The following is a 25,115-nucleotide window of genomic DNA, read 5'->3' as shown; positions in this document are numbered from 1 at the left end:
CAGCCTCAACCTCCCAAAGTGCTGGGATTACTGGCATGAGCCACCATGCCTGTCCACTTAAATTATTCTGTATTAGTTATTTCCCTTGTCTCCCTCTATTAGATTGCAAACTCCGAACATACGCTCTTATTCACAGAGAATCATAATAGGTTCTCAACCAATATTCAATGAATGAAGTAAGTATTGATTCTCTAGCCCCATTTCCAGATATCTATAATCTGTAAAGTCTGCGTCACACAATATGACATTTGATAAACTGCCTGGCAACCTTAGTTGGTTGTTAGCATTATCTCCTAACTAGATAGTAAAGCCATTTAGAATGAAGCCATGTCCTATGGGTTGCCTGTACCTCTTTATGTCTTAGCACAGTATTAACCATATTACATGAATTTGAAAATACTGGTTATTTTTTATTATTATTTAAAATAAAAACAAGGTCTCACTATTTGCCCAGGCTTGCCTTGAACTCCTGAGCCTGAGTGATCCTCCTGCCTCAGCCTCCCAGTGTTAGGATTACAGGTGGAGCCACCACACCTGGCCAAAATACTGGTTATTTAAATTCAGTGGATGAAATTAAATGGTGACACCCTGCCAATTTTTAATTATCTTCTATTTTGCTTTACAGAACAATTCATGTTGGAAATTTGATGATCTTTTTCAGCATTTTAACTTTACTTAATATGACAAAAACTAATCAGCTAAATAGACAAGGCGGACTTTGTACCAAACCCATCTTGCTTTTCCCTTTCTCCTTTTCCCTCTACCCCCACAGATTTCAGCTCAATGCATCTGTTAGAGGCATTCCAAGCAGAGTGACTCTGTCTTGAACAGAGGCTGGGTAAAATGAGGCTGAGACCTGCTGGGCTGCATTCCCAGGATAGGCATTCTTAGTAACAGAATGAGACAGAAGGTTGGCCCAAGATGCAGGTCACAAAGACCCCGCTGATTAAAAGGATGCAGTAAAGAACCTGGCCAAAACCAAGATGGTGACAAAAGTGACCTCTGATCATACTCACTGATCATTATACACTAATTTTAATGCATTAACACACTAAAAGACACTCCCACCAGCACCATCACAGTTTACAAATGCCATAGCAACGTCCAGAAGTTACTCTATATGGTCCAAAAAGGGGAGGAACCCCCAGTTCCAGGAACTCCCCCTCCTTTCCTGGAAAACTCATTGAATATCCACCCCTTGTTTAGCATATGATCAAGAAATAGCCATAAGTACACTGAGCCAATCAGCCCATGCCACTGCTCTGCCTATGGAGTAGCCATTCTTTTTTATTTTTTGAGACGGAGTCTCGCTCTGTCGCCCAGGCTGGAGTGCAGTGGTGCGATCTCGGCTCACTGCAAGCTCCATTTCCCAGGTTCACGCCATACTCCTGCCTCAGCCTCCCAAGTAGCTGGGACTACAGGCGCCCGCCACTATGCCAGGCTAATTTTTTGTATTTTTAGTAGAGACGGGGTTTCATTGTGTTAGCCAGGATGGTCTCGATCTCCTGACCTCGTGATCCGCCTGCCTCGGTCTCACAAAGTGCTGGGATTACAGGCGTGAGCCACCGCGCCTGGCGAGTAGCCATGCTTTTGTTTGTTTACTTCTCTAATGAACTTGCTTTCACTTTACTTTGTGGATTCATCCCAAATTCTTTCTTGCATGCGACCCAAGAACCCTTTCTTGGGGTTACTAACACATCAGGTGTTTGTTGAATACCCTTTGTGTTCCAGTCTCTGTGAAATGGCTGCTATATGCTTAACATAACACTGCATGTGGCACAGAGCTCAAAAGCAAAATACTAGAATTTGATTGCAAGGATGTAAATACAGTTTGTTGATTTATATCTCTTTTAAAATGCCTTTCATCGCTCCCATTCCCTTTTATGCACCGAAGTTATAATTCACTCCAAACATCTGAATATCTAGAACTGGAAGGCATTGTAGGGGGTAAAAGTAAAAATCCTGATTCCTGTCCACCAAGAATTTATATTCTACCATTTAAACATAGTAGAATTAGTGAGCATGACAATAAAGTGCTGAATTATGTGGAACAGGACCTGGAGGAATGTAAAGGACATGATGTCATCTTAGTTTCCTATGGCTGGTGTAACAAATTACAAACCTGGTAGCTTAAAGCAACACAGTTTTATGTTTTTTTGTTTGTTTGTTTGTTTGTTTTGAGACAGAGTCTTGCTCTGTCTCCCAGGCTGGAGTACAGTGGCACCATGTGTGCTCACTGCAAGCTCCGCCTCCTGGGTTCACGCCATTCTCCTGCCTCAGCCTTCCCAGTTGCTGGAACTACAGGCGACCGCCACCACGTCGGCTAATTTTTCGTATTCTTAGTAGAGGTGGGGTTTCACCCTGTTAGCCAGGATGATCTCGATCTCCTGACCTCGTGATCTGCCCGCCTCGGCCTCCCAAAGTGCTGGGATTACAGGCGTGAGCCACAGTGCCCAGCCAACAGTTTTATTTTCTTATAGGTCTGGAGCTTAGAAGTCTAAAATCAGGCTCAGTGGGCTAAAAATGAAGGTGTCAGCACAGCTGCTTACTTCTGGAGGCTCCAGGGAAGAATCTGCTTCCCTAGAATTTCGCCTCTTCCAGTTTATAGAGAGGCTGCAACTTTTTTGTCTCATGGCCCCACATCACATGGCCTTTTTCCCCCTGCTTTCATTGTCACATCACCATCTTTCCCACTCTGATCCTCCTTCCTCCTTTATATAAGGACTCTTGTGATTACATTAAGCCCACCTGCATAATCCAGGATACTCTTCCCATCTCAAGGTCCTTAATTTAATTACATCAGCAAAGTCCCTTTTGCCATGGAGGCTAGCATTCACAGACTCCAAGGACTTGAATATGGACGTCTTTGGGGGGGCATTATTCATCCTATCACAGATGTGCAGTTGTATAGTGTACAAGTGGAAAGTAACTAGGGAAAGTTTTAAAATTTAATAGAGGAATTGGGATTTAAGCCATACCTTAAAAGACAGGTAAAATGTAATCTGAAGAGAAAAATTAGTAAAGTCTTTCAGGCAGGAGAAAAACATCATGAGTAGCAAAAATATACTTCAGATTCAAGGGCCTCAAGGCACTAACTGTCCTCTGGAGAATACAGCAGTGACACAGATTAAATGGTTAGTAGGAGGACCTAATAGAGAAAGGTGTTGCATAGTCTGTTAGACCAAAAGAATTTAAGAAGATAAAAGAACATAAAATGTAGCTCTGAATAAGTTAGTTCAAAGAAACTATATCTAGAAAGTGTTAAACACTTTGTGTGTGTGTGTGTGTGTGTGTGTGTGTGTGTGTGTGTGTGTTATATTCATAGCAAAAATAAGGCCATTGGATTTCAAGGACTATGAAATGCAAAAGAGGAAGAGCAAATATAATGCAATAAATAAATCAAAACTTTATTCACCTTTCAGTTTTGCTGTTTTAAATGTTTCTATATCCTTTATTTTTTGCTGACCTAAAGGGAGAAGGTGGGTAAGAGATTCAAGTAAAGAAAAAAATATTAGTCCATGAATATTTTTTATTCCTTTTATGGATCAGATGTCCTATATTTAGAATGTGTTTGACCTACTTCTCTCACAGGCATTTATTTCCACCCTCCCATTTATCTCTCTTTTGATCTTTTTCCAAAAACAGAAGAAAGTGTTGGGGGAAGACAAAGCAGGGGGTGGCGCAAAATATTTCAGTAAGATGTAGGGACTGGCCGGGTGCAGTGGCTCACGCCTGTAGTCCCAGAACTTTAGGAGACGGAGGTGGGCAGATCACTTGAGGCAAGGAGTTCAAGACCAGCCTGGCCAACACAGGGAAACCTCATCTCTACTAAAAATACAAAAAATTACCAGGCGCAGTGGCTCATGTCTGTAATCCCAGCTACTCAGGAGGCTGAGGCACGAGAATCACTTGAACCCGGGAGGCGGAGGTTGCAGAAAGCAAAGATCGCACCACTGCACTCCAGCCTAGGTGACAGAGCGAGACTCTGACTCAAAAAAAGAAAAAGAAAAAATAAAATAAAATAAAAAGATGTAATTACCAGGGCTGCAGAGAAAAAGGGAGGAGAAGGGGGAAGATACACAAGAGAAAGATATTACAGCCCATGACCTTATGCTTCTATTGGATAGATGTTGAAAATATGAACACATTCATATAGGCTGATGCTCTTGCAAAATAATTAAAAGGAAGGGAAGAAATTGTAAGTAGAAAATCAAAGAAATTAATTACTAAAGAAAAACAGTTTACCATTTTGCCTATGGTTAGCCACTTTTTTAAAAACCACTTTTCACTTGTATTTACATAAGAAATATTCTTTCACATTAGCAAAGTGCTGAAATACTTCCACCCACTGTAACTCTGCTACACTTTCCACATTCATTCCTTGCATTATATAACAAACATATTTTTACATGGATTATTTCACCAACACCTCCTCCTAACTCTGCCACCAAAAAGTTTTGCAAAATATATGCAGAAGTCAAAAGCAATGGCTTTTGAAATTTTTAGAAAATGAACACAATTACTAGAAACATTTTATTTTAGTGATCATGGCTCACTGAAGCCTCAACCTCCCGGGCTTAAGCAATCCTCCCACCTCAGCCTCTCAAGTAGCTGGGACCACAGTCAGGTACCACCATGACCCAATAATTTATTTTAATTTCTTGTAGAGATGGTGGGGGGGGGGGGGTCTCCCTGTGTTGCCCAGGCTGGTCTCAAACTCCTGGCTCAAGCAGTCTTCTTACCTCGGCCTCCCAAAGTGTTGGGATTATGGGCATGAGCCACCATGCCCAGCTGCAATATCTTACATAAGCAAATACAAGCCAAGTTTTGTTCAAACTTCTATTTTCTTTTTTTGAGACAGGGTCTCACTCTATGCCCAGGCTGGAGTGCAATTTCACAATCATGGCTCACTGTAGCCTCAACCTCCCAGGCTCAAGAGATCCTCCCACCTCAGCCCCCCCAAGTAGCTGGGACTACAGGAGCGCACCATCACACCTGGCTAATTTTTATATTTTTTTGTAGAGACAGGGTCTCACTATGTTACCCAGGCTGGTCTTGAACCCCTGAGCTCAAGTGATCCACCTGCTTCAGGCTCCCAAGTGCTAGGATTACAAGCGTGAGCCACTGCACCCAGCCCAAACTTCTATTTTCATATAAACACTAAAGTAATTTTTTTTGTTTTTTTGAGACAGCGTCTTGCTCTGTCACCTAGCCTGGAGTGCAGTGGCACGATCTTGGCTCACTGCAGCCTCTGCCTCCCAGGTTCAAGCAATTCTCCTACCTCAGTCTCCCGGGTTCAAGCAATTCTCCTACCTCAGTCTCCCGTGTAGCACCACCACCCTGGCTAATTTTTTTTTTTTTTTTTTTTTGAGACGGAGTCTCGCTCTGTCGCCCAGGCTGGAGTGCAGTGGCGGGATCTCGGCTCACTGCAAGCTCCGCCTCCCGGGTTCACGCCATTCTCCTGCCTCAGCCTCCCAAGTAGCTGGGACTACAGGCGCCCGCCACTACGCCCGGCTAATTTTTTGTATTTTTAGTAGAGACGGGGTTTCACCGTTTTAGCCGGGATGGTCTCGATCTCCTGACCTCATGATCCGCCCGCCTCGGCCTCCCAAAGTGCTGGGATTACAGGCGTGAGCCACCGCGCCCGGCCTAATTTTTTTTTTTTAACATATTTTAGTAGAGACAGGATTTCACTATATTGGCCAGACTGGTCTCAAACTCCCAACCTCAGGTGATCCACCTGCCTCGGCCTCCCAAAGTGCTGGGATTACCGGCATGAGCCACCACGCCCGGCCTAAAGTAATTTATTAAAATAAGAGATTGAAATTCAACTTGCCTTATCTCTTTTATGTTATTCGAGGGTCACTAGAGAACTAGAGGTATGATATCAGATACTACTGTACAGTCAGGGCAGGCTAGGCTGTGGTCCTGTAATAACCTTCACATCTCACGACTTAACACACACACATCTATTTTATGAAGGACTCTGCTTCACAGTCTTCACTCAGAGACCCAGGCTGACAGCCTCCACCACAAGGAGGAACACCCCCAGTCATTACCATGGGAAGAAGAAACATGGCAAATTGCACACTAACTCTTGAAGACTTTCACCCTTAAGGTGACAGAGGTTACATTTCATTACCCACAGCCAGCCACATGGCTACACCCAACATCAAAGGGGTGGGGAAGCATTTTCCTCACAGGTGCTTGGGAAAGGAGAAAAACAGAAAGTGAATAGCATCAGTGACTATCACAGGTGCCAGCAATTAGAGTTTTCTTCTATTAGAGTCTTTCTTCTTGAGGCAATCTGAGAAAAGTCAGGTTTTTTTAGAATGGGATTTTTTTTTATAGACTTTTTTTTTTTTTTTTTTTGAGACGGAGTTTCGCTCTTGTTGCCCAGGCTGGAGTACAGTGGTGCTGCAGCTCACCATAACCTCCGCCTCCCGGGCTCAAGTGATTCTCCTGCCTCAACCTACCGAGTAGCTGGGATTACAGGCATGCACCACCATGCCTGGCTAATTTTGTATTTTTAGTAGAGACAAGGCTTCTCCATGTTGGTCAGGCTGGTCTCAAACTCCCAACCTCAGTTGATCCACCTGCCTCGGTCTCCCAAAGTGCTGGGATTACAGGTGTGAGCCACCGTGCCCGGCCTAGACTTTATTTTTTGGAACAGTTTTGGGTTTACAACAAAGTTGAGCAAAAAGTACAGAGGTCCCCTATGTCCCCTGCTCATACACACTCATACCCCTCACTACCAACATCTCCCACCAAAATGATTCACGTATTACAATCAATGAACCTACATTAATACATCATCATCACTCAAAGTCCATAGTTTGCATTAGGATTCACTCTTGATATTCCCCATTCTATGGGTTTTGACAAATGTATAATTGCATATATTCACCACTGGAGTGTCATACAAGATAGCTCCACTGCCCCAAAACATCTGTGCCCACCTATTCACCCCTCTCTCCCTGCAACTCCTGGCAACCACTGATCTTTTGACTGCATAGTTTTGCCCTTCCCAGATTGTCACATAATTGGAATTGTATAGTATGTAGTCTTTTCAGACTGGTTTCTTTCACTTAGTAATATGCATTTAAGCTTCCTCCATATCTTTTCATGGCTTAAGAGCTCATTTCTTTTAGCACTGAATAATATTCCATTGTATGGATATACCACAGCTTGTACATTCACCTACTGAAAGACATCTTGGTTGTTCTCAAGTTTTGGCAATTATAAATGAAACTGCTATAAACGCCATGTGCAGATTTTTGTGTATACGTAAGTTTTCAGATCAGTTGGGTAAATACCAAGCAGTGAGATTTCTGGATCATAAGGTAAGAGTATGTTTAGTTTTGTAAGAAACTACCAAACACTCTTCCAAAGAGGCTGTACCATTTTGCATACCAACGTGCAATGAATGAGGGTTCCTGTTGTTCTACGTCCACACCAGCCTTTGGTGGGGTCAGTATTTTGAATTTCACCCATTGTAATGGGTGTGTAGTGGTATTTCATTGTTTTAATCTGCAATTTCCTAATGGCATATGATGTTGAGCATCTTTTCATATGCTTCTTTGCTATCTATATATTTTCTTCAATGAGATGTGAGTTGACATCTTTTACACATATTTGAAGCAAGTTGTTTGTTTTCTTATCACTGAGTTTTAAGAGTTATTTGTATATTTTGCATAATAGTCCTTTATCAGACATGGTTTTTTTGTTGTTGTTTTTTTGTTTTTATGAGACGAAGTCTCACTCTGCCACCCAGCTTGGAGAGCAGTGGTGCAGTCTTGGCTCACTGCAACCTCTGCCTCCTGGGTTCAAGTGATTCTCATTCCTCAGCCTCCCAAGTAGCTGGGATTACAGGCATGCACCACCACACCTGGCTAATTTTTGTATTTTTAGTACAGACAGGGTTTCACCACGTTGGCCAGGCTGGTCTCAAACTCGTGACCACAGGTGATCTGCCTGCCTCAGCCTCCCAAAGTGCTGGGATTACAGGTGTGAGCCACTGCACCTGGCCTATCAGACATGTTTTTGAAAATATTTTCTCCCAGTCTATGGCTGGTCTTCCCATTCTCTTGATTTAATTTTTAAAATGAACATTAGAAAGCAACTTAGGACAGTATGTCTCTATAGAAAGAGGGCAGATTTTCAAATTACTCACAAAAGCACATGACCAGTTTTGACATTTATAGTCAGGGACACCTTTCTGAGGTATACCTCCATAGAAATGATAGCAGCAGCGACTCATCTAAAGTGGCCATTGCCAAGATGCCAGCTACAGCAGGGAGGCACTGGGTAGTTCCTTAAAGGAAAATACGATCCATGGAGCAGGCAGGAGCCCTGCCCTTCGGCTGCAGACCCAGGGGTCTCTGTGCTCTTGGGAGCCCAGAGCCAGCTCTCTCCCAGAGCCCCCTGCCAGCACCTGTTCCTGCTGCCTGGCTTCTCCCACTGTCAGCTCCTGCTCTAATCCTGGAGCAAGGTTGGAGCCGAGCCCCGGCATTGTTGCAGCCCAGCCAGGGGGCTCATGCTCAGGGCAGTGCTGACACACCAGCCCCCAGCCACATCAGTCCCCTCCAGACTTTGGGTGATGAGGATCATGGGAGGGAAGCCGAGGGGGACTGCACGTAGCTCAACACTGGCCTGCAGGCACCTCTTGGCACAAACATCCTGGGTGCCAATGAATGGCCGTGAGAGGCAGACAGGCTCCTGGGAGGAAGGGGGTGGGTCCCCAGTGAAGCTCCACTTTCAGGCCAGGGAAGGTCCTACCAGTCCTGCCCACCAGAGGGGGAACTTGTGGTGCTTTTTCCTGAGCCCACCTATTGCTGCCCATGGACCAATCAGCATATACTTTCCCCACTCTGAATGAAAACCATAAAAACCCCAGACTCAGCCAGAGCAGGGCAGACATCAGGATGGCCAGCTGCATAGAGGAACTACCATCTCCGCTGAGAGATGAACATTTTTGGGGATGACCTGTCAGCAGAGAGGAGCCATCCACTCCAGGCCTCCTCTCTGCTGAGAGCTGCACACTCGATGGGACGACCTGCCCACAGAGAGGACCTGCTCACCGCGGGTCTCCTCTGAGCTGTTCTGACCCTCAGTAAAGTTCTTCTTCGTCTTGCTCACCCTCCACTTGTCTGCATACATCACTCTTCCTGGACATAGGACAAGAACTTGGGCAAAGGCACCACCACCCACAGAGGTTTCCAGCCAGAAAAGCAGCACCTCAAATATCCCAAGAAAAGAAATAGCAAAGGGCTAAAGTCAAAAGATTTGTTTCAAGCCCAGCTAAGATAATCATTAGCTGTATTAGATTTTTGTCTAACCAACTAGCAAGTAGAGAAGTCCAGACCTTCCTAAACAAACAAAGGAAGTTTTGATCAACTGAGCTTGAAAGTCCGGGGGCTGCTCTGGCTTCAAGGATTTCTATGTCTTCTCCTCAGCCAAAATAGGAATCTCTCCCTCTCTCTCCCTTTGATTCTCCACTCTGCTTTCTCCTATGTAGCATTCACTCTAGGAGCTCTCTCAATGTGATAGGAAAATAGCTCCAGGGTTTCATGATCCTTACATCTCCCAAGTGAAGTCAGTGCGCTCCTAGCATTCATTTATTTCAATCCCTTAAAAAAAAAAAAAAAAAAACTCAAAGCCAGGCACAGTGGCTCACACTTGTAATCCCAGCACTTTGGGAGGCTGAAGCAGGTGGCTCACTTGAGGTCAGGAGTTCAAGACCAGCCTGGCCAACATGGTGAAACCCCGTCTTTACAAAAAATACAAAAATTAGCCAGGTGTGGTGACGCATGCCTGTAATCCCAGCTACTCGGGAGGCTGAGGTAGGAGAATTGCTTGAACCCAGGAGGCAGAGGTTGCAGTGAGCCAAGATTGCACCACTGCACTCCAGCCTGGGCAACAGAGCAAGACTCCATCTCAAAAAAAAAAAAAACACTCAAATACTTGGATTACATGCCCACCCGTATACCAATCTCTGCATCTAGGGGAATATAGTGGACCCTGATGGGTCAGTGTGGGTCACACATAACAGACAGAGGCAGAGCCCCTTGACTGACAGACCTGCTAGGAGTTATAGAAAGGCACTGGGTAGTTCCTTAAAGGAAAAATCAGAGTCCTATTACCAAAAAGAGGAAGGAAATTGGCCCAACCAAAACAACAGATGTCAACTATATCAGTTATGAGATTTTAGTCAAGTCACTTACTCTCTGAACCTGTGTTTTTTTCATCAGTAAAAGAGGCATGATAATGATAATACCAGACCCATTACTCGGTGTAGTTCTTGTAAGAATCAAGCACGCATTATATGAACAGGATTTGTAAACTGCTGCAAGACACTATTGTAAATAATAGCACCCACTAAACGAGCATTTATTATGGCTAGAAGAAATAGTATTATTTCTGTTATTAGTGCCTTGGATACATATATTCACTAACCTTAATGTGATCTCTTAAATAGACTTTAGGTTTCCTAAGTAACCATTCAACCTTAATTTGGCTTCTTATGTAGACTTCTCTGTTGAAATAAGAGGGACTAAATGACTTAAATGAATATCGGAGGGCTTGGCAATTCTATGTTTTATTAAAATTCATTTCTTTTATACAAATCAACTTCATACAATAGGCAGTTTTTTAGTGGTTAATATCAACTGGTTAAGCTGGCAACTGAAGTTGCAAACCTGCAAAATTAGAAGATCAAGCTGTGAGGGATAGAGAACATCACCAATACCAGTGTTCTGCTTCTATTGGCAGGTGGGGAATCTTTTTTATTTTTTATTTAGTATTATCAAATCTGACAGTAAATGAATATCCGTAATATTGAGTGTTAATCATTTGAAATAGTATCAGTGTTTTTGAACTATTAGTAAAACTAGTCACAAATGATGATTCATTCAAATAACTTTAAATATTATTCAAAAGACAGCGATTCTTCTTCCACTTTGGGGTTTTCACAAAATTCATTTGTTAATCTTACATGTAGATATCAAAGTAGCCATCAGTCATTATTACTTTATTCTCTATGTTATGGAAAAAGTGTGATTTTAATGACCATAGGCATCATATATTATTCCAGGACTCAGCTTTCCTTTTAGGATAGATTTATTTAAATTAGCTAGGAGATAGATCATGCTTCATTTAAAATTGCTAAAATAAGTACTTGCATTAGCTATGCAAAATAGTCCTTTTTTTACTTAAAATGTTCTCTTCAAAGTGTTTCAGTTGCTAAATGTGAATTATTTCCAAAGATTCTCCAGACCAAAAGGTGAGATGATATTTTAAAAATTCAATTTCCTTATAATGTAATGAGGTCAATAATACAAAGAGTTCAGAGTCTCTGATTCCTTTTTCAGTTTAAAAATGCCAGTGGATCAAGTAATTTCTAAATTATTGCCCTAGTCTTTGGACTTCCTATAAATTTCTTGTCAACATTTTTTGAATTTACTTAGGAAAGTGCTGTCTTTAAAATTAATTATTCACTTACCTTCATTTTAAAGTATTTTTTCAAAACTGCTTATTTGATGTAGTAGATGAAAGGGTATATTTAAAGGCATTAATTTTTATTAACAGCTAAATATCTCAAGATGTCATTTTTCCCTCTAAGTTTTCAGAAAAGTCTCTATTATGTGCTCCCAGAGAGAAAAATAGACTTTAAATTAATTTACTTAATAAAGAGATAAATATAGTCTGTCTGTATCTCATCATAAACTTAGGAGAACTAATCCCTGAATGCCAATGACTACTGCAGGATTTTATCAGTCCTGGTTTTCCTCAGTCCCACCGTCACCTTCCCTGCTCTGCCCCATACCACAGGGGCTGGCTTTCCTGGTCCCTGTGCCAGCTTGCTTCCAGCTGAGTTTGGCCAATGGGAGGCACTAGTAGAGGTTACAGGCTGGGAGATTGGAAGGGGGTGGTAAAGAAGAAATCAAGGTATTTCTCCTTCCTTTTTGCCTCAGAAGGCAACTGGAGCAATGACTGGCTCTCCCATCTGGCCCCAGCTCCCAGTTGGAGAGTCCTGCTGTGAGTCCAACTTTGTCAGATATATCAGGCAGGGTCCAATGAGGAGAAAGAATGCACACAGTAATTTAAACAGGGAAAATTTAATATAGAAATTTAGGCCAGGCACAGTGGCTCACACCTGTAATACCAGCACTTTGAAAGGCCAAGGAGGGAGGATTGCTTGGACCCAGGAGTTCAAGACCAGCCTGGGCAACATAGCAAGGTCCCAACTCAAAAAATAAAATATAATTAAGTTAAATTAAATTTTAAAATATAGAAAGTTATTCACTATTAGAGAGATATTGGAGCAATGCAGTAAGAAAGATAATTCTAAAGAATACAAGAATAGCAGATATAAGGAGCAGTCACAACGTTGGGACTGAGATAAAGCATCCAAGTAAGATCTCTGCAACCTCACCAAGACAAAAATCCAGATCTTGTTGGAGATGGAATAGTGTTGGTTCACTAGATAGTGAAGCTGAGGTGCCATGCCAGAAGCACTTGCTGAGGTACTAAGACAAGCTATCTGCAGAGAGATACCAAACCTTGCCACCCATTGCAAAGCTACCTTAGGTGATGCTGGGGAAACTCCCCATGGGGAGGTACTGTGTGCTGCCAGCTAGGAAATACTGCAGGAGCTGGGCACTACAGAAGCCATGTGTGTTGCAGGAGCCAAGTATTGCAGATGCTGTACATACTGCAGGAGCACCGGTGAGAGGAGCACACGGAAGTCAGGAAGAGAGAGAAAAAAACGTTCCTCCTGCAATGTCTCTCCAGCACCGTCTACCAACAAAGCTTAATATCATGCCAGAAGAGAACTATTTACAAGGCCTATATTAGTTTGCTATTGATGCATAACATATTACCGCAAACTTAGTGGTTTAAGCAACACAAAGTTATTATTGCACAGCTCCTGTGGCTTAGGAGTCTGGCACATTTTGTCTGGGTACTCTGCTTAAGGTCTCACACAGCTGAAATCAAGGTGTCAGCTGGCTACATATTCATCTGGAGGATCAACTAGGAAGTGATCCACTTCCAAGTTCATTTAGGTCATTGGCAGAATTTAGTTCCTTGCAGTTGTAGAACTGAAGACCTTGTTTTCTTGCTGGCTGTCAACCAGGGACCACTCTCAACAACTAGAGGGTACTCTGGCCATGTCACCCCCTCCATGGGCCCTCTTAACTTTGAATCTCCTCGCCCAAGAAGAGTCCTCTTTCTCTTTCAAGAAAGCACCTGAGTAGGTCAGACCCACTCAGGAAAACCACCCTTCGATTAACTCAAAGTTAACTGATTTGAGATCTCAATTATATATTCACCTTTGTCATCTGATGTAACCTAATCACGGGAGTAAAATCCATCATGTTCACAGTCCCATCTATACTCACGAAAAAGGGATTATATAGGACCTGTACACCAGGAAGGTGAGAATCTTGGGAGCCATCTTAGAATTATGACTATAGGCAATGAAGAATGGATTTGGAGTGAAGAGACAATAAATTGACGATTGGCATACCAGGTAACCCCTACCCCTGGGTTCCAGGAACACCACCTCTTCTCCAGCCGAGGGGACAGTGGCTGCCTGTCATTGCTAATCTCTGGATTGCCTCACCATCCCCTGTTGATTAATAATTATCAAGAGTAACAATTCTCTATCATAAACTCTATTTTCAAATACTCAGAATAATTTATGTCTTCCTAGTTAGAACCTTACTAAGACAAAGTTTTGCTAATATCTTTCCACCCAGGTAATGTTAGCTAAAACCATAAAAGTGGCAATGTCTGTAAATGTAACTGGGGTCTGTACTACCTATGTGATAGCTGTACCCCCTGTCTGAGCCTGCCTGTACCCAGTCCAGATGTACCACTTCCCAAGTACAATGGGTTGCTGTTAGGCGTACCTGACCTTATGACTTGGTGGTTCAGAAGCTAGCTCATAATGGGCCCTTCTGGCCACATGGATACATATTACATAATCAGATGCTCCATTTCTGTCAAGGCCAGTAGCACACCAGAAGCTGAGTTTTAAAAGGTCTATAAATTCTGTGTAGATGCTGGGCCTTGTTCCAGATCCTGGGGTCTATGTGGGCTTGCCATAAACTGCACAAGACATCTTTTCCCACCACTGATACCTCCAACATTATAGGGGCTTCTCAATCTTAAGACCAAGTAACAGTGCTGCCTGCATCACAGGCTGGACCTGCTACAAAGCCATGTCTTGCTCTGAAAAGCTTTCCATATTACACCATAAATGAGCTGGAGCTTGGTACATGCTGCCACCAGAACATAGAATTCTACCAGGTATTGCGTTTCCTTCCTGGTGATGGGAGATACAAGCTCAACAATGTATCCTTTACTTCAGAGGGGATGTCCTAGCATGCCCTCCACTAGACCTCTAAAGATTTCACTGATGTCTTGGAACACTGAATCTTCATAGGGTTTCTCTCCCACTCTCTGGAGCACAAATTTTTTTCCAAGGCCACCAACATGTTGGCGATTTCTTGCTCATCCAGTTCAATGAAGTCATAGTTATAATAAACCAATGTGATAATCTGCATCTCCAGGTGATCTAAATGTCTTTCTACTACATTATGTGAAAGGACGGAAAAGTTAACATAGCCCTAGGGCAGAAACATAAATTAATACTTATTGTGTCCATTCCCACATGAATGCAAACTGATTCTTTTTTTCTTCTTCTGTTTTTTTTTTTTAATTGAGATGGGGTCTCACTCTGTTGCCCCGTCTGGAGTGAAGTGGTGCAATCTTGGCTCACTGCAACCTCTGCCTCCCAGGCTCAAGCCATCCTCCCACTTCAGCCTCCCAAGTGGCTGGGACTAGAGTTGTGAGTCACTACGCCCGGCTAATTTTTCCATTTTTTTGTAGAGATGGTGTTTCACCATGTTGCCCAGGCTTCTCTTAAGCTCCTAAGTTCAAGGGATCCTCCCACCTTGGCCTAGACCCATCATCTCACAACCATCTCCATAGCCCTCTTTGTATCAGACTCCTCTGGAAAACAGTCTATTTTTTTCTGCTTACTATGATAATCTCACCCACTTTGCACGTGATGGTTTAAGTGCTACTACCTAACCTCGGTTACATGATAGGATCCTACCATGCCCCTGTCTATTACGGAGCCCAGTTTTACAATGGCATATCTTACTTCTGTGGCCCTGGCCTATAGAAGATCACTGAGTTTCTCAATGATTCTGGTGCCCCCTTTTACCAGCGCATTCCTTATCCCTTTAATAGATGGACTATCATCTGGATTCTTCTGCAGAACATAGCAGATGGGTTTTCCAGATTTATATATCTACTCTAGAGAGCACATATCTCTGAGCCCTTTACTCCTTTACTATGTTCCAAAGCAGTCTGAATTTTCTACTATATTTCTTCTAAGCTTTCTCAAAAACTATCTTGACAGCAAGTTAACACTATTTCCCAAGGTGTTAAATCCTGTGTTATGGAAGAGTGCTCCCTTATCCATAAATTCTTCTTTATCTCCACTGATCCAGCCTCTTTAGAATCCAGTTCCATATATTCACTCCCAGCTCCTGCCAATACATACTAGCTATATCTTGCAGCTCTTTTAGCCTGTGATCCATGTTTCCCTTAGCAGCTAAGGGAGGTGGTAGGGTACAGTGTTCCCTGATCCTAGCATTAGTCTGGTGGCCAGGTGGGGAAATGAGAGTTGATTATGGGAATGGATGGATGTGGTCTTATGCATTATGGGGATGATGCAAGGCAAAGGCCTCTATGTCATTTTTTAAAACTATTTACAATTTATTTAAAACTATTTAAAACTTTATTCTTAAATTAGCAACATTCAAAAAAGATATTCACAACTGGAGTCAGAGCAAGTGCAGAGACCCCAAAACAGATGGTTTTTCCTTAATTCATCAGACTGGAGCAGAGTTTAAACCAAGCTGGAACCACTCAGCCACGGACTGCAGCATCCACTTGGTCCAGAGCTTGTACAAATAGGAGCCATAAACCACGACCTCAGTGAGGTCTGAAGATTTCAGAGCCTTCAACTCAAGCATGGCCTTACTCACCTGCTCAGTGTAAGGGATCTGTGACCCTACTGGGCCATATGTGACTTCCAGCAGCTGCGTCTAGGCCTGAAACACCTCTGGATCTTCCAGGTCTTTGGGAACTTTCACCCACAGTGAGATATTTTTACATTCTGGGAGAATTCCCATCTTGCGACCCTCACAACCAACCACTCTCCTGCAGAAGCTAGGCCTAACCATCTACATCGTTTTAAGTAAAGTGGGATCATCGGCCTTTCACAGGAAGGACTGAGCTGCTTCTTCAGACCCAGAGGGCCAAGGGGAATCTGAGGATTCAAGATTTTCAAGTTTATCAACCTGGATTTTTCCATCTCAAGTTTCAGGATCCCACTCCCTCCCAGTAAAGACACTGACATTGATGTAACACACTTGGCATGGCTGAGGATTCACTCTTCTATGTATTTTTTTAATTTTTTGAGACAGGATCTCACTCTGCCACTATCGTGACTCACTGCAGCCTCGACCTCCCAGGCTCAGGTGAACCTCCCATCTCAGCCTCCCAAGTAGCTGGGACTACAGGTGCACACTGCCATGCCCGGCTTATTTTTTGTAGAGATGGGGTTTCGCCATGTTGCCCAGGCTGGTCTTGAGCTCCTAAGCTCAAGGCATCCATCTGCCTTGGCTTCCCAAAGTGCTTGGATTACAGGTGTGAGCCACCCACAGTGCCCTGCCAATTCACTCTTCTTTTTTCTTTTTTTTTTTTTTTTTTGAGACGGAGTCTTGCTCTGTTTCCCAGGCTGGAGTGCAGTGGCGCAATCTTGGCTCACCGCAACCAATGCCTCCCAGGTTCAAGCGATTCTCCTGCCTCAGCCTCCCAAGTAGCTAGGATTACAGGTGCCCACCACCACGCCCAGCTAATTTTTGTATTTTTAGTAGAGACAGGGTTTCACTATGTTGCCCAGGATGGTCTGGATCTCCTGACCTCGTGATCTGACCTCGTGATCTGCCTACCTCAGCCTCCCAAAGTGCTGGGATTACAGGCATGAGCTACCACGCCTGGCCACCAATTCACTCTTCTATGGAGCAAGTTTAGCTCCTGTTTTAGTCCTGGGCCTTTTCTTCAACTTTTGCTGCCATCTGACTTCAAGATTTGAGAGTCTACTTATTTCCTGCCTAGGAGACCCTCTGGCTTTCATATTTCATCTTTGCATTAGTCCATTTTCACACTGCTATAAAGAACTACCTGAGACTGAGTAATTTATGAAGAAAAGAAATTTAATTGGCTCACAGTACTGCAGGCTTAACAGGGAGCATGGCTAGCCTCAGGAAACTTACAATCATGGCGGAAGGTGAAGAAGAAGCAGGCAAGCCTTAACATGGCAGGGCAGGAAGGAGACAGAACAAGTGGGGAACTGCCACACACTTTTAAAACATCAGGTCTCATGAGAACTCTATCATGAGACAGCACTGGGGATGGTGCTAAACCATGAGAAACCACCCACATCAAATCGCCTCCCACCAGGCCCCACCTTCAACACATGGGGATTACAATTTGACATTAGACTTGGATGGGGACACAGAGCTGACACTGAAGCAGCTGGGATTACAGGTGCCCGTCGCCACACTAGGCTAATTTCTATAATTTTTAGTAGAGTCAGGGGTTTCACCATGTTGGCCAGGCTGGTCTCGAACTCCTGACCTCAAGTGATCCACCCACCTCAGCCTCCCAAAGTGCTGGGATTACAGGCGCGAGCCACTGTGCCTGGCCCCAAATTCCCTAATATGACATTCAAGGGCCATCACAATCTGGTCCCTACCTAGTTCGACTATTGTTCCTCGACATTCACTGATGTTCTGCCTGTTCTGATGGTTATTTTCTAGATACAATGTGCACTTCTGTATCTTCGTACCTTTACACATACTGTTCCTTCTTCCTGGAGTGCCCTATTTATCCTCTTTCATTATCAGAATTCACTGTCCAAATCCCAAGTCATATATTGCCTCATGTAGGAAGTCTTTCTTAGTACCACTACAACCAGAATTAATGTCTCCCACCAGCCTTTGTTTATATCTCCAATAAAGTCATTTCCATAGTCTACCCTGTATTACAGTTACTAAGTTTGTGGCTATGTTTCCCACTTGGTTGTGAACTTGTTACAGAAACGCCAAGGGTTCGGTCTAGGTCCTGTTGCTCACTGTATGGAATGTCAATCACTGAGACAATGAGTAGTTCCAGGGAAGAGGCTTTAATTGGGTGCTGCAGCAGAGGAGAATGGGAGATAAGTCTCAGATATGTCTCCCCGACCACTAAAATTGGGAGGTTTATGAAGCGGGGAAGTTGGGGAAAAAAGGAATTAGGGATGGGTAGAGAAGCAATCATGATGGATAAGGGGGTCTGGCACCTCATTGTGTGGATGTGGTGATCTCATGAGTTTCAATTCTCTGCCTGAGGGTCAGTTTCCTGAGGAAGGAACTGAGGTAAGACAAATGTAAGTTTCAAGTCTTAAGACCAGGGAGAATCAATTCCTACATTTGTTCAAAAACCATAAATATTAGTTCTCTGAGACAATTGGGACAATTTCAAACTCTTTCAGGATTTGCACTGTCAAGATTTCACTCATCTTTAGATGTTTATTGCCTAATCCAGTCTCTTTCCCATGGTAGGATTTATATTAGAGTATATATTCAGCTGCTGTAACAAAGATCAAGGTAACAATGGTTCAAACAAGGCAGAAGTCTATCTGTTCACACAGGGACATGGGGTCCTGGTAGCTTGTAGCTCTGTCACCCTTTGGGTACTGGCCTCATCTGTATGGTCCCAGAGGGCCCCAGCACATCCCCATGTCAGGAAGCAGGTTGGAGAAGGGTTGGAAAGAGAGGACACATCTCTGTGCCATGACCTGGAACTGCATGTATCACCCCCACTCAAATCCCAAAGACCAGAACTTAGTCACGTGCTAGTCTTAGTTGCAAGAAAGGCTAAGAGATGCAGTCTTTCACTGAACAGCCACGAACACAGGTAAAACATTGGAAAGATGGGGAGTATTGATGGCTGGAAAGCAACTAGCAGTCTTGCTACAGAATCAGTGGGTGTTTGCTTTTAAAAGTTACATTAAAAAACATGAACATTCATTTCACTGACAGAAGTATGCTGGAAGATTGGGAAAGAGAAAAGGTAAGACAGAAAAAAAGACACAGTTGGAACAAGATAGCAAGATAGCTGCTGAGCAACAAAGAGAAGAGAGAGATGAGATGAGAGAGAAGCAAGAAAGAGAATCAGCATGCCCTGCCCCATTAGCATTATCAGGAGAAGCCCCTGGCTGTTTGGAGCCCAGTTCTCTCCCAATAGGATGGCCCTATATGCCTCAGCAAGGACTCCTTCAAAGTCACTTGAGCCTACAATAGGATTCACATTTCTGGTGTGTCAGAAATAAGAAACAACTCAGGATTGTCACCACCAACAATTATTCCAAATAACTAGGTATCTCAACTGTTTAGAGTCTTCTTTCTTAAAAAAAAAAAAAAAGGTAGAAAAAAACAACAACAGGGGGTCTCGCCTTGTTGCCTAGGCTGGTCTTGAAGTCCTGGCTTCAAGTGATCCTTCTACCTTAGCCTCCCAAAGTGCTAGGATTACAGGCATGAGCCACTGCACCCAACTGAGTTATCTTTCTTTTAAATACTATTTGCCCAAACCTTCTCCAGTTTCGGGAGTTGTGGGTGCGTCTTCCGTTTCCTTGCCCTTTTCCTTCCTCCCTTCCTCCCTTTTATTTGAGGGGAGGAAGATGGCAAGGAATGGGAAGATGAACCCACAGGAAAAACTTAAGGAGAAATTGCTAGTCCTCCCTGCTTATACCATATTCTCTATATTAACCAAATTTTAAGTCTAGATTTGTTAGTGGGACTATGGGATTGCCAATGTCCCTTTCTTAATGTAGTATTTCTCTCTTTATTCCTTCCTCCACATTTCCTGTGCTACAAATAAATTAATATTCCTAGTCATTATATTGTTATAAAAGTTAAACATATTTCTTTCTTTCTTTCTTTTGTTTTTGAGACTGGGTCTTGCTCTGTCACCCAGGTTGCAGTGCTGTGGCACAATTATGGCTCATTGCCCTGCTGACTTCCTGGGCTTCTGTGATCCTCCCACCTCAGCCTCCTGGAGTTGCTGGGATTACAGGTACACGCCACCATGCCTGGCTAATTTTCTTGTGTGTGGGTCTCACTATGTTGCCCAGGCTGGTCTCAAACTCCTGGGCTTACATGATCCTCCTGCCTTGGTCTCTTAAAATGCTGGGATTACAGGCATGAGCCACCATACCCAGCCCTTTTGTGATTGTCTTGTTTCACTTGGCATAATGTCTTCAAGTTTCATCCATGTTGTAACATGCATTAGAATCTTCTTCCTTTTTAAGGCTGAATAATATTCCACTGTATGTATACACATTTTGTTTATTCATCCACCTATGGGCACTTGGGTTGCTTCTTTCTTTTGATTATTGCGAATGCTGCTGCTATGAATATGGATGTACAACTATCTGTTCAAGTTTTTGCTTTCACTTTTTTGGGGGTCTATAATCAGAAGTAGAAAGCCTGGATCATATGGTAATTTTATGTTTAATTTTTTGAAGAAACACCACACCGTCTTCCATAGCAGTTGCATGGTTTTTGTTGTTGTTACTGTTGTTTTGGTTTTTTTGGTTTTTTTTGAGATGGAGACTTGCCCTGTCGCCCAGGCTGGAGTGCAGTGGCACAGTCTTGGCTCACTGCAACCTTTGACTCCCGAGTTCAAGTGATTCTCCTGCTTCAGTCTCCCAAGTAGCTGGGACTAGAGGCATGCGCCACCACACTCAGCTAATTTTTGTATTTTTAGTACAGACATGGTTTTACCATGTTGGCCAGGCTGGTCACGAACTCCTAACTTCAAGTGTTCAGCCCACCTCCGCCTCCCAAAATGCTGGGATTACAGGCATGAACCACCATGCCCAGAGTAGTTGCATGTTTTTACATTCCCACCAATGCACAAAGGTTCCAATTTTTCCACATCTTGCCAACACTTATAGGTGTGTGTGTGTGTGTGTGTGTGTATAATAGCCATTCTAATGGGTGTAAAGTGGAAAGTAGTAACTCCTTGTATGCAGATTTTTTAAATAGATAGGATCTTGCAATGTTGTCCAGGCTGGAATATAGTGGCTATTCACAGGTGCAATTATCACCCACTCCTCAAACTCCTGGGCTCAAAGGATCCTCCTGCCTCAGCCTCCCTATTAGCCCAGACTCTACAGGCACATGGCACTGGGCCGGGCGTCCTTGTGGTTTTGATTTGCATTTCCCTAATAATTAGTGATGTTAAGCATCTTTTCATGTGTTTATTGGCCATTTGTATATCTCCTTTGAAGAAATGCCTATTCAAGTCCTTTGCCTGACTTTAAAAATTGGGTTGTTTGGTTTTTTGTTGTTGAAGTATATTTCTTCTTTATATATTCTAGATATCAATGACTTATCAGAGCTATGATTAGCTAGCACATATTTTCTCCCTTCTCTGGGTTGCCTTTATAATCTGTTCATAGTGTCCTTTGATGTACAAGTTTTTAATTTTGATGGAATCTAATTTATCTTTTTTCTTTTGTTGCCTATCCTTTTGGAGTTATAGCTAATAAATCATTGCTAAAATAATGCCACAAAACTTTTCCCCTATGTTTTCATCTGAGTTTTATAGTTTTAGTTCTTATATGTAGGTCTGTAATCCATTTTGATTTGCTTTTTGTATATGGTGTAAGGTAAGGGTCCAAATTCTTTTTTTTTTCTTTTTGCATGTGAATATCCAATTTTCCCAACATCATTTGTTGAAAAAGACTATCCTTTCCTTACTGAATGGTCTTGACACTCCTGTCAAAAATCATTTGACCATATTTTTGAAGGTTTATTTCTGAATCCACTGATCCATATGTCCTTCTTTATGCCAGAACCACAGTATTTTGATTATTATAGCTTTGTAGTAAGTTTTGAAGCTGGAAAGTGTAAGAAGTCCAACTTTGTTCTTCTTTTTCAAGATTGTTTTGGCGATTTGGGTCCCTGGAGATTCCTTATGAATCTTTTTTTTTTTTTTTTTGAGACGAAGTTTCCATCTTGTTGCCCAGGCTGCAGTGCAATGGCACAATCTCGGCTCACTGCAACTTCCGGCTCCTGGGTTCAAGTGATTCTGCTGCCCCAGCCTCCAGAGTAGCTGAGATTACAGATATGCACCACCACGCCCGGCTAATTTTGTATTTTTGGTAGAGACGGGGTTCTTCCATATTGGTCAGGCTGGTTTTGAACCCCCAACCTCAGGTGATCAGCCCGCCTCGGCCTCCCAAAGTGCTGAGATTACAGGCATGAACCACCGCGCCCGGCCTCCTTATGAATCTTAGGATGTATTTTCCTATTTCTGCAAGAAATGTTTTTAGATTTTTTTTTTTTTTTTTGAGAGCTGCTGGGGTTCTCACTGTGTTGCCCAGGCTGGTATTGAACTCCTGGCCTCAAGCAATCCTCCTTCTTCAGCCTCCCAAAGTGTTGGGATCACAGGGGTGAGCCACCATGCCCAGCCATTGTTAGGATTTTGACAGGGATCACATTGAATCTGTAGTTCACTGTGAGTAATATTAACATCTTAAATAAGAAAACTTTTTGGCTGGGCGTGGTGGCTCACGCCTGTAACCCCAGCACTTTGGGAGGCCAAGGCAGGTGGATCATTTGAGGTCAGGAGATCCAGACCAGCCTGGCCAACATGGTGAAACTCTGTCTCTACTAAAAAATACAAAAATTAGCTGGGCATAGTGGTTTGTGCCTGTAATCCCAGCTACTCAGGAGGCTGAGGCAGGAGAATCGCTTGAACCCAGGAGACGGAGGTTGCAGTGAGCCAAGATTGCACCATTGCACTGCAGCCTGGAGGACAGAGTGAGACTCTGTCTCAGAAAAGAAAAAAAAAAGAAAACTTTTTGATGATGAAAAAGTTCTGTATCTTATGATGATAGTTACATAACTACATGCATTTTTCAAAGTTCAAGGCTGGGCATGCTAGCTTACACCTATAGTTCCAGATGGGAGGCTGAGGAAGGAGGATCACTTGCAACCAGGAATTCAAGAGTGGCCTGAGCAATGCAGTGAGACCCTGATCTCTACAAAAAACAAAAACAAAAACAAAAGCAACAAAAAAAAAACAATTAGCCGGGCATGGTGGCACATGCCTATAGTCCTAGATACTCAGGAGGCTGAGGTGGGAAGATCACTTGAGCCCAGGAGTTCAAGGCTGCAATGAATTATGATCATGCCCCCGCACTCCAGCCTGAGTGACACAGTGAGACACTCTCTCTAAAAAAAAAAGAAAAAAAAAAAAAGTTGGGGGCGGTGGCTCATGCCTGTAGCACTTTGGGAGGCTGAGGCGGGTGGATCACAAGGTCAGGAGATCAAGACCATCCTGGTTAACACGGTGAAATCCCGTCTGTACTAAAAATACAAAACATTAGCCGGGCGTGGTGGCGGGCGCCAGTAGTCCCAGCTACTCGGGAGGCTGAGGCAGGAGAATGGCGTGAACCTGGGAGGCGGAGCTTGCAGTGAGTCGAGATAGCACCACTGCACTGCAGCCTGGGTGACAGTGCAAGACTCCGTCTCAAAAAAATAAAAATAAAAAAATTCATTGCACTGTACACTTGAAATGAGTACATTTGATTGCAGGTAAAGGATACCTCAAAAAATTGATTAAAAACTTTAAAGGCTGGGTGCAGTAGTTCACATGTGTAATTCGAGCACTTTGGGAGGCTGAGGCAGGAGGATCCACTTGAGCCCAGGAGTTCAAGATCAGCCTGGGCAACATAGCAAGTCCTTGTCTCTTATTAAAAAAAAAAAAAATGTGGCTGGGCACGGTGGCATTCACCTGTAGTCCCAGCTACTCAGGAGGCTGAGGTGGGAAGATCACTTGAGCCCAGGAGGTCAAGGCTGCAGTGAGCTGTGATCCCACCACTGCACTCTAACCTGGGTGACAGAATGAGACTCTGCCTTCCCCCTGCAAAAAAAGATAAAAGGAAAAAACTTTAAAAAGATATCCTGAGCCTGGGCAACATAGCAAGATTCGTGTCTCTACCAAACATTTAAAAATTGGCCAGGCATGGTGGCACACACCTGTAGTCCCAGCTGTTTGGGAGGCTGAGGCAGGAAAATTGCTTGAATCCATGAGTTCAAGTCTGCAGTGAGCTATGATTGCAACGCTGCACTCTAGCATGGGCAACAGCGCGAGACCCTGTCTCAAAAAATAAATAAATAAGTAAAAAAAAAGAAAAAGAAAAAAGATTTTGTGGACTATGTGCTGGAGAAGCTTGTGTCACTGTGTATGGGGGAGAAAAAACACCATTAAAAGCCTGCTCTCTCTAGCCAAAAGACTCAAACAGGGCAGCCCAACAAGACAGAAAGCTGAGCACTGAGTCACAAGACATAAGATCTCTCTCTATGGCACCAACACAATTTACAGCATCCTCCCTTGACTTTTGGGTATTGTATTCTCTGACATTCTACCTTTTCAACCACTTCTTCTAAATCTATCCTAAGCCTTAGTGTCTTCTAATTATCAATAGGCTTCAGCCTCACTTAAATGAAGTGAGGCTGGTGAAAACCTGGTGCCCAAAATGTGAGTCTTCAACCAGCTACATCCTGCATCCAAACCCAGAAGCAGGCTCTGAATTATGCCTTCATCTTTAGGACTCCTTGCATTTGTTCATGTAGTCCACTTAACCTGAAATGCTCTTCTCCATCCATCAAAATCCTTCTTAACCTTCAAGTCCCAGCTGATGGACTCTACTCAGCTTTCTGAAGTCCCTCAATCAGAACACACTGCTTCTTCCTCTGTGTCCTGGGCTTCTAGCACAGAGGGTCAGAATGAAACAAGCCCAGGACACAGAGGAAGTGAATCTGTTTATTTTATTTGCACCACCTGCCAATGCCCTAGACATATATTTGATGGATGAATAAATGAATAATTTGATCTTTGTAAAGACTTCCACAGGAGACAAATTAAACATGGGAGATAAATGTGGTCCCTAAATATATGCACAGGGCTGAGAAGAT

General features: G+C 43.3%; 1 pseudogene, besides 1 other annotated feature; it reads right to left on the bottom strand.

The window, feature by feature from the left end:
- Positions 3,007-3,207: a silencer, noted in NCBI's record as "peak2326 fragment used in MPRA reporter construct". NCBI's record gives its function as "represses an SCP1 promoter by STARR-seq MPRAs in K562 erythroleukemia cells {active_cell/tissue: K562}" and the evidence as "EXISTENCE:reporter gene assay evidence [ECO:0000049][PMID:32103011]".
- DPPA5P2 (developmental pluripotency associated 5 pseudogene 2) lies at positions 15,942-16,211 on the bottom strand (annotated as a pseudogene).

This window comes from Homo sapiens, chromosome 15 (assembly GCF_000001405.40).
Source record: "Homo sapiens chromosome 15, GRCh38.p14 Primary Assembly".
Taxonomy (NCBI): Eukaryota; Metazoa; Chordata; class Mammalia; order Primates; family Hominidae; genus Homo; species Homo sapiens.
The sequence above is the reverse complement of the archived record's forward strand: the minus strand, read 5'-3'. Positions and strand labels throughout refer to the sequence as shown.